At 39.3% G+C, this 10,999-nt stretch overlaps 1 annotated feature.

Annotated features, from left to right (window-relative positions):
* Positions 5,717-5,876: a silencer, noted in NCBI's record as "silent region_14574". NCBI's record gives its function as "represses an Ori minimal core promoter by ATAC-STARR-seq in GM12878 lymphoblastoid cells {active_cell/tissue: GM12878}" and the evidence as "EXISTENCE:reporter gene assay evidence [ECO:0000049][PMID:35858748]".

Raw genomic sequence — 10,999 nt, forward strand, 5'->3', positions numbered from 1 at the left:
TAAGCCAATTAGTCAGAACTCTTTTATCTAAACATCACACACCCTACACATATAAATACACAGACAGAAGATCCAGTAGTTGTAAGATTTTTCATTTGCCAGTTTCTTAGTTGGATTACTAGCTTCAGGGTGGAGCCCTTGGAGGAACAGGCCAGGAAAGCACACAGCTTTTAGGGCCTAATAAGTAGGCACAGATGGAAGGAAAAATATAACCCCCAAATTAAGGGTGCCATTTTTATGCTGCATCCTGGATCCCCCCAAAAGAGGGAAATACTACAGGAGAAGACAGTGCAATGCTTCTACTGTGCATTTCATTGCAAAGCAACCCAAAGCCAATCAGCCCATCCCCCATGGGAATCTTATCTCTTAGTGGAGGGTGGAGATATTTTCATACCTTCCAGGTAGCCAAGAGCATGCTTCTCTAATCCAAACATCAAAGAGTCAAGCATGCCTTCTAACTGCTATTAGCCATCCCTTTAAGTATATTTCCTACCTGGTTATTACACACCAAGGCTAAAAGCTGTCCCATAATGCAATGTAATTTTTGACACCCCCCCCCCCCCAAAAATAGAAAATGTTAGGCAACGTAGTGTAAAACAGAACAGAGCCTTAGATTTTTGAGAAGGGTTTATTCTCTTTCAATTCCTGGGGTTCCATGAGGAAAACAGAAGTTTTTCCTAGAATGGAGTCTGTGGCACCTCCTCTGTTTTTCCCCAAGAGTCCTAGGCTGTTAGAATTTATCTTAGGTTCTCTCATGTGGGCATCAAGAGTGGTAAGAAGACAAAATGGAGAAAAACAATTCAGTCAGCTGTGAAGAAAAATAAGATCCAAGAAGAGAAAAAATCATAAAGGTCTTTTAAATATATTTATAGCTTGGATATCCACTTTTAATGAGCTGATCTTAACCACAGAGCTCTGTATTAGTTCATTTTCCTGCTGCTGATAAAGACATACCAGAGATTGGGCAATTTACAAAAGAAAGAGGTTTAACGGACTTACAGTTCCATATGGTTGGGGAGGCCTCACAATCATGGCAGAAGGCAAGGAGGAGCAAGTCACGTCTTACATGGATGGCGGCAGGCAAAGAAAGAATGAGAGAGAAGCAAAAGCGGAAACCTCTTATAAAACCATCAGATCTCGTGAGACTTATTCACTACCACAAGTATGGAATTCAAGATGAGATTTGGGTGGGGACACAGCCAAACCATATCAAGCTCTTTAAAAAAATTTTTTAAAAAATCTCCTATGCAACCATAGGCAAAATCTTCTTACTTTTGCAAAATGCTGCCCAATGAGCTGCATGAGAAACTGAATTAACATTTTCCATCCCAGCTGAAGCAAAATACACATAGCAAAACAGACACTAATCACCTCGTTCAGCACTCAGTATCCACCTGGCAAGGCTGAAACTTTCTCCCATTGGTCCCTGTTGTCTTTGATTCATTCCAGGTGGAGAGGGCCTCTGACTGGTAATTCAATGGGTGGTCTCTGGGCAAGACAAAGAGCGGACAGTCTCCCCAAGTCAGGCCTGTTGAACTTTCTTCAGGGCTCACTAAATGTGACCAGACTTTCCAAGTTAGGCCTGCTGAACTTTCATCAGCAATTCCTTCAGAGATCCCATCCATACATACAAACACACACACAACAAAGACAAGACAGAGAGAAGGTCTTCCAAACCAAGATCCCTAACCAAGAATTCCAGGAGTATCCCTTTGAAACTATCCTCCTATTCTCCATCTGAGAAATCTCCCCGAAATCTTCCTGATTGAGAAGTCTCCTGAACCAAGACTCTTCCTAAGAATTAGGGAGAGCCAACTGAGACCCCTCAGAAGCTGAGAGAAGACAGACACCCCACAATGGGGCTACAGACAAACCAGGACCCCTGAAGGAGCGGAACCGAGACAGACACCCCACAAGGGTCCTAGAGACAGACACCCCACTATGGGGCTACAGAAAAACTGAAACCCCTGAAGGAGCCAAACCAACTGGGAGAAGGAAAGAGGTGTTGGCAGCACCTAGGATATTTACCAATCCAGACACCCTGTAATGGGGCTACAGCTATAGATACTCCATGACATGACTGAGCTACAGACAGACACCCTATAATAGGGCTACAGTTACACACACCCCACCATGGAGCTACAGGCAGACACCCTGTGATAGAGCTACAGTTATAGGATGTTTTCCCAGGACTCTTTCTCTATTGCAATTAAATCCACGCACATTGGGTCAGCAGCACCCCTCCAGTAGAGACAGTACCAGAGTCAGCCCCCAGTCCAAGAGAACTAGGAGGCCTCAGGATCCATTGCAGGAGGCAGACTACTGAACCATGGGTAAGTTGCCACAAGGGCAATGCTGGACTAGCCCCCAAATTTGTAACTACTCAATGGGTTCACCTTGCCTGCTGCCTAGACAGAGCTGATTTATCAAGACAGGGTAATTGTAATAGAGAAAGAGTAATTCACGCAGAGCCGGCTATGCAGGAGACCAGAGTTTTATTTCTCGTATCAGTCTCCCCTTTAAGCATTTTAAACTGTATTTACGAATTAAATATTCTAACATTCTTCTTAAGTACTTCAATTAACTCATGAATCCTCCCAAGTTCTTATGTAATTCTTAGAAATCTAATTTATTAAACTTATAAGTTAATTTATTAAACTTATAAATGTGATGAAACTTAAGTTTTCTTAAATATTCAAATACTGGGTATAAACTTAATGAGATTTCATAAAATCACAGGCCTAAGTTTGTTACTGAATTGCACATTGATAAATTGGGTTTATAAAACTAATCTGAATAGAAAAAAATCATTTTGAAAATTACAAATACCTAAAATGGTAAACATACAAAATTCCTTAACAGAAAATATCAGCATTGTGGTCTTGATTCTCTTAAACATTTCTGTATTTAATTCTAAGTCTTTCTCTGTTAAAACAGCCTTGCTTTAAGAAAGTGATTTGTGGCCGGGCGCGGTGGCTCACGCCTGTAATCCCAGCACTTTGGGAGGCCGAGGCGGGCGGATCACGAGGTCAGGAGATCGAGACCATCCTGGCTAACACGGTGAAACCCCGTCTCTACTAAAAATACAAAAAATTAGCCGGGCGTGGTGGTGGGCGCCTGTAATCCCAGCTACTCGGGAGGCTGAGGCAGGAGAATGGCATGAACCCAAGAGGCGGAGCTTGCAGTGAGCCGGGATAGCGCCACTGCAGTCCAGCTTGGGCGAAAGAGTGAGACTCCGTCTCAAAAAAAAAAAAAAAAAAAAAAAAAAGAAAGTGATTTGTTTATGGCAGGTAATGTTGGGGAGTACCTAGGCAGCTGGTGAGTTATTAGACCCAGGGGTACTGAATGGGATAGGATTCTTGACAGTGACCATAATGGCATATCTGAAACTCATTACAGTCACATATCAAACCCTTTGCATAGGTTGTGTTCCAGCCTTCTATGTACAGGGTGTGCACCTTCCTGAGTTGGAGTTATAATTAACCTGTCTTTGCTGCCTACTCATGAAAAATCTGCAACTCCCACCCAGGATGTCATGTCACTTGATGAGATATTTTTTAATTCTTTAGCTTTTAAGAAACTTAAACAGATTTTATTCTAAGTCTAAAGCCTTCTGAACGTGATGCAATCCTGAATTTTTTTCCAAATATGCTGCCTGTCTCATAGGACTACTTAATTTTTATAGCTATTAAGGATGATAACCTAATGAATTCTAGGTCGCCCTCTTTTATTTTAATTATTTATTCTTGATTCTTTTATATTTTTTACTTTTATTTGTGTTTGATTTATAAAATGTGTAAAATAATATATTATTTTATTTTTACGGCTCTAGAAATCTATAAGAATTTCTAACAATTATGTTTACATGTTTAAGTATTATTATCATAATACTAATTTAATCCTATGCTAAGAATTTTAAAACTTTTTAAATTTTTAATTATTATGAGTTCAGAATAGTTGTACATACTTATGGGGTGCATGTGATGTTTTGATACAGGCATATAATATGTAATGATCAAATCTGGGTAACTGGGGTATCCATCACCTCAAACTTTTATCATTTCTTTGTTTTGAGTATATTCCAATTCTACTCTTTTAGATATTTTAAAATATACAATAAATTATTGTTAACTATAGTTGCCCTATTGTGCTACCAAACACTAGATCTTATTCCTTCTACCTACTTGTATTTTTGTACTCATTAACCATCCCCACTTTATCCTACCCTGCAACCTCATTACCCTTCCCAGCCTCTGGTAACCATCATTCGGCTCTGTGCCTCAATTAGTTCTCTTTCAAAGGTAATTCAACCAACAGCTCTGAGATTGGACGTCAGTATTTCTTAATGCCTTTAACCTTTAATGCCTTAAAGTTGGGATGACATATATTTCTTGAGTGTGTATATGAGTTGTGGGAAGAATTATGATGGTTAAGGAAATGTTCAAATGGAGGTGAAACAGTGCTCCTTATCTGAGTCCTCTCATGATCTTGGGCTGTTCTGCCTATTTTCACATCTTCTAAAGGGAGGATTAAAGATTTCAAGTAAAAAGCTGAAAGTGTAGGCCAAATAACACCTGATTTGCTGATCTGTGCCTGAGGCCCAAATACATACAGCCTCTAAAACATACAGGAATAAGCTCACCCACGTAATTAAGGGGCTTAGCAGTTTAGGATGGAACAACCCTCTTTCATCGGCTCAGAAACTGACGCAGCTTCCTTTTGCCTCTGATACCAAGTCTAAATTAATTAACATTATTCTCAAAGCTTAGACTATTTGGGTATCAAATCAAATCAAATAATGTCAATTGCATGTGATTCAATGTATAGTTATGTGCTCATCTTATGTTCTTAACATAAGGCTTTTACCAATCAGGCTGACTTGTTCTCTGTTCTCCCAAAACATTTTATTTTAATTCCCATATCTATGTTGAATTAACCGCCCTCTCTTCCTTCAACCTATCAGCTTAATTCTGAAGATTCTTTATGGCCAAATTCCAAACCTTTCCCTCCTACTACTTCATACTGCTCTCTTCTGTCTATAAATTCCTAGAGCAGAGAGCCTGGGGAATTACTGGATCATATGCTGTTTAGTCCTCTAATTATCCCTATCCATAAATTCTTCTCACTGCATTATAATTCCCTAAAGAGAAACATATTTCTTTGGTCTCTATTATAGCACCTAAGGAATCTTTCTTAACATGTAGTATTGAATAGGGAGCTCTAGGTGCAGAAAGAAGAGAGAAAGTATAAGGAAGATATTATCAATATGTCCTAAGATGTTGTCTGTAGGTGAAGACCCTGAGACTGGAGAGTTAGTGACTTGTCCAAGAGCAAGCAGTTAGTGGCCAAGCCCATCATCAGAGGTAAGTCTCCAGGCACCGTAAGTGCGGGCTCTTTCCACTTCAGCGGTTAGACTATTGCATAGTGAATGGCTCAGTTCCTTCTCAGATGGACCTGCCTTATTCTGAGGACCATCTGTCTTCATACCCCCACCTCTCTTCCTGTGTCCCATTCAGAGGAAGAAATGCCAGCTTCTGTTCAAATATCTCTGGTATTTGATTCTAGTCAGAGATTCAGGAAAGGGAGGATCACCACCAGGACAGTGATGGCCAGGGCACACGAGACTCCCCAGAATAAGATACCTTCCCCACTTCTCACTTCTCAAGATATGTGTCTAAAATATATTCCGTCTCTATTGTGTGTATAGTACGGAGGATGACTGAGGACTGACGATATTGCGGAATAGGCTGAACAGTGAAAAAGACAAGAGCGATGATGCTGCCCTCTAGTGGCAGAGTGTAGAAACACAACTCATAAGCAAACACCAAGTTCACATCCTAAAAGAAGCGTCCTTCACCCCAAGAAGTCAGACCACAAAAATAGTTAGAGGTAGAGTTTGAGTTATTTTAAAAAATCTTAGGTTTTAATTTATTAGTACTTTAATCCATTGTTATGGGTAAAATTGTGTCTGTCCCCCACAAATTTCATATTTTGAAGTCCTAACCCCCAGTACCTTAGAAGGTGATCTTATATGGAAATATGATAATTCCAGATCAAATTAGTTAAGATGAGGCCATACTGAAGTAGGGTAGTTTCCAATTTAATATGCCTTATGTCTTTATAAAAAATAAAAATTTGGACACACACACACACACACGTGGAAAACACCATATGGACATAAAGGAAGAGATTGGAGTGATATGTCTACAAGTCAAGGAATGCCGAAGTTTGGCAGCATACTATCAGAAGCTAACTAAGAGGGAGGCATGGAACAGATTCTCTCTAACACCTTGAAAGGGAGCATGGCCCTGACAATACCTTGATCTGGAATTTCTAGCCTCCAGAACTGTGAGACAAATTTCTGTTGTTTAAGCTGCTCCGTTTGTGATACTTTCTTATAGCAACCTTAGCAAACTCAAACAACCCCATTACTTTACATTAGTTTTAAGCTTAATGTTTTTAGATTTCAGAATAAAGCATGGAAAATGGTACACTGAGGGCAATACGGCAAATGCCAGGGATGAAGATATTATCTACCCCAAGTTTTATTACCAGCCATAAAATGCATTATCTTTGTTGAGAAACTTACTGACAACTTGGCTTAGTTATACATTTATACTATTTTATGGGCTCACCAGGTTGGCAAGTGTCCTTAACCAGTATTTTTGTCATTCCAACATTCCTCTGGGAGGCAATGTTTATACTTGTAAATCATTTATTAACTAGTGACTTCTGCATTGTTGTCTTTGGTGTCTTCTAATGTTTTATACGCTTGCTAACTAGATCACAAACTCGTTGAGTATCCTTGAATATCATACATTATTATTAAGCTTTCTGGGGATTATGGGCCTTCATATCCTGTAAAATGCATGGTTCTTATTGCAGAATGGCCCCTGTATTAGTTCTCCAGAGAAACAGAACCAATATACAAATGTAGGCTTGAGGGGAGGATTTTAAGGAATTGGCACAAGTGGCTGTAGAGGCTGACAAGTCCCAAACCTGTGGTACTTTCTTAGAGCAGCCTTAGCAAACTAATACAATCTTATTACTTTAACATTAGTTTTAAGCTTCATGTTTTAGAATTCAAAATAAGGCATGTATTTGAGACAACAGGCTGGGAAGAGTTGATGTTACAGTTCAAGCCCAGAGGAATTCCTTCTTCTTTGGGAAAGGTTAGCCTTTTTTTATTAAGGCCTTCAACTGGGCTGGGCATGGTGGCTCATGTCTGTAATCCCAGCACTTTGGGAGGCCAAGACGGAAGGATTGCTTGAGCTCAGGAATTCGAGACCAGCCTGGCAATATAGGCAGCCTGTGTCAAAAAAAAAAAAAAAAAAAAAAATTAGCCAGTGCCAATAGTCTCAACTACTCGGGAAGCCTGGGCGATTGAAGCTGTGATGAGATGATTGTACCACTGCACTCCAGCCTGGGTGACTGAGTGAAAACTGTGGAAAAATAAAAAAATTAAAAAAAAGGCCTTCAACTGATTGTATAATGATATGGTTTAGATGTGTGACCCCTTCAAATCTCATGTTGAAATGTGATCCCCCATGTTGGAGGTGAGCCTATACGGAGGTATTGGATCAGGGGGCAGATCCCTCATGAATGGCTTAGCACAACCCCCTTGGTGATAGTGAGTTCTCTGAGTGCGTGAGATCTTGTTTCGGAGGGTATCACCTCTCCTGCTGTCACTCTAGCTCCTGCTAGCTCCATGTGACATGCTGGCTCCCTGTCGTCTTCTGTCATGATTGTGAGCTTCCTGAGGCTCTCACCGGAAGCTGAGCAGATGTTGGCACCGTGCTTCTTGTACAGCCTGCAGAACCATGAGTCAATTAAACCTCTTTTCTTTATCAGTTACCCAACCTCAGGTATTCCTTTATAGCAACACAAAAATGGCCCAATACAGATGAGGCCCACCCACATTACCAAGGGTAATTCACTTTACTCAAAGTCTACTGGCTTAAGGCTGGGCAAGAGTAGCTCACACCTGTAAACCCAACACTTTGAGAGGCCGAGGCAGGTGGATCACATGAGGCCAAGAGTTCGAAGCCAGCCTGGCCAACGTGGCAAAACCCTGTCTCTACTAAAAAATACAAAAATTGCTGGGCATGGTGGTGCATGCCTGTAGTCCCAGCTAATCAGATAGCTGAGGCATTAGAATCACTTGAGCTGGGGGCGGAGTTTGCGGTGAGCCGAGATCATGCCACTGCACTCCAGCCTGGGCAATAGAGCGAGAGTCTGTCAAAAAATAAAAAAAATCAAAATCCAAAAAGTCTACTCACTTAAATGTTAAGTGTTAATTCTCATCTATAAAATACTTTCATCTTCATCTCTGATCTAGGAGGACATTCAAGACCCAGGCTCCTTTTGTTTGATCGTTCTACCATTTTTTGAGATGTCCATGTCGGCATTCAAGACTATAGAAGGGGAAAATAGAGTGGCTGGAATTTCTAATGTGATGTGTAATTTCTACTGTGATCTGGAAATCTGGAAGGTGCAATCATCCTTTCTGCCTATTTTCCAATAGCCTAAACTTAGTCATATAACTACACTTTGCTTCAAGGGAGGCTGGAAATAATCGTGACTTGCTTGCAGGCCATTAGCTCCCCTGAAATTAAAGTTCTTTTTTTTTTTTTTAAAGAAGGAAAGGATAGATCGTAGGTTATTTGGTAGTCTCTTCCAAAACACTCAGGCAAATTAATAACATCCAAAATTTGAAAATCTTGAACAAATGAGATGATCAGGGGAATCATCAGTGGAAAATAAGGAATTTTATAAATGAGGTAAAGCTTCAGCTCAGCATTAGGATTTTAATTCAGTTTATTAGAACTTCTGTTACCAGGCTATTTGTAAATTAGAGAAAATGTAAGAGACAATGTTAACAAAATTAAATAAAAAATACCTTCACAAAAAATCTGAATAAATTTTGACCAAATATCTGAATACTATGGCCAAGCCAAGTTGACACATAAAATTAATCATCACAGCCTCCAGTGAATCCTGCCATCTTGAATTTGTGCTTTTTGTAGCATGAATCTGGACTGGTCTTGTGATCATTGGTTTTTAAAATTTTTTATGGATACATAATGGTTATGCATGTTTATGGAGTACATATGATATTTCGACACAAGCATGTAATGTGCAATGATCAAATCTAGGTAGTTGAAATATCCATCATCTCAAACATTTATCATCTGTTTGTGTTGGAAACATTCTAAGATGATTCTTCTAGTTATTTTAAAATACATGATAAATTATTGCTAACTATAGTTGCCCTATTGTGCTACTGAGCATTAGATTTTATTCATTCTATCTAATCATATTTTCGTACTCATTAATCAACTCCTCTTTATCTCCCCCTCCCCACTACCCTTCCCACTCTCTGGTAACCACCATTCTACTCTCTACGTCCATGAGATCAATTGTTTTAGCTTGCACATGAGTAAGAACTTGTCACATTTGTCTTTCTGTGCCTGACTTATTTTACTTAACGTAATGTCTGCCAGTCTCATCCATGTTGCTGCAAATGACAGGATTTTATTTATTTTTTTATCTTAAGGATGCTGAATGGCTTAAGAGTCACTGTTATTTTCTTTTATTGATTTATTGATTTCAATTGTGATATAGATCATTAGTTTTCTATTAGGTTTTTTATTATGGTCATATGGCTTTATAAAGCAATGCTATTCAACTGATGTTCTGCAACATAAAGGGGAATTGGTTTATTGTGGCTTTTGATGTTTCTAGAAATATTAATTTTGGTATAATGATTCACTTCCTTTTAAAATAATTTTTCCATAGGTTATTGGGGATACAGGTGGTATTTGGTTACATGAGTAGGTTCTTTAGTGGTGATTTGTGAGACTTTGGTGCACCCATCACCCAAGCAGTGGACACTGCACCCTATTTGTAGTCTTTTATCCCTTGCCCCCACTTCCACCCTTCCAAGTTCCCAAAGTCCATTGTGTCGTTCTTATGCCTTTGTGTCCTCATAGCTTAGCTCCCATATATCAGTGAGAACAAACAATGTTTGGCTTTTCATTCCTGAGTTATTTCACTTAGAATAATAGTCTCCAATCTCATCCAGGTTTCTGCAACTGCCATTAATTCATTCCTTTTTATGGCTGAGTAGTAGTCCGTCGTATATATCTACATCACAGTTTCTTCATCCGCTCGTTGATTGATGGGCATTTGGTTTGATTTCATGATTTTGCAATTGCAAATTGTACTGCTGTAAACATGCATGTGCTGCAAATTGTGCTGCCATAAACTTCTGTGTGTGAGTATCTTTTTCATATAATGACTTCTTTTCTTCTAGGTAGATACCCAGTAGTGGGATTGCTGGATCAAATGGTAGTTCTACTTTTAGTTCTTTAAGGAATCTCCATACTGTTTTCCATAGTGATTGTACTAGTTTACATTCCCACCAGCAGTGTAGAAGTGTTTCAGTTTCATTCTCCTACATGTGGCTAGCCAATTATCACAGCACCGTTTGTTGAAAAGGGTGTCCTTTCCCCACTTTATGTTTTTGTTTGCTTTGTCAAAGATCAATTGGCTGTAAGTATTTGGGTTTATTTCTGGGTTCTCTATTCTGTTCCATTGGTCTATGTGCCTATTTGTATACCAGTACCATACTGTTTTGGTGACTGCATCCATGCCAACATCTACTGTGTTTTCATTTTTAAATTATGGCCATTCTTGCAGGAGTAAAGTGGTATTACAGTGTGGTCTTGATTTGCATTTTCCTGACCATTAGTGATGTTGAACATTTTTTCATATGTTTGTTGGCCATTTGTATATCTCCTTTTGAGAATTGTCTATTCCTATCCATAGCCCACTTTTTGATGGGACTGTTTGTTTTTTTTCTTACTGATTTGTTTGAGTTTGTTGTAGATTCTGGATATTAGTCCTTTGTCAGATGTATAGATTGTGAAGATTTTCTCCCACTCTGTGGGTTGTCTGTTTACTCTGCTGACTGTTCCTTTTGCCGTGCAAAAGCTGT

This window comes from Homo sapiens, chromosome 3, assembly GCF_000001405.40.
Source record: "Homo sapiens chromosome 3, GRCh38.p14 Primary Assembly".
Lineage (NCBI taxonomy): Eukaryota > Metazoa > Chordata > Mammalia > Primates > Hominidae > Homo > Homo sapiens.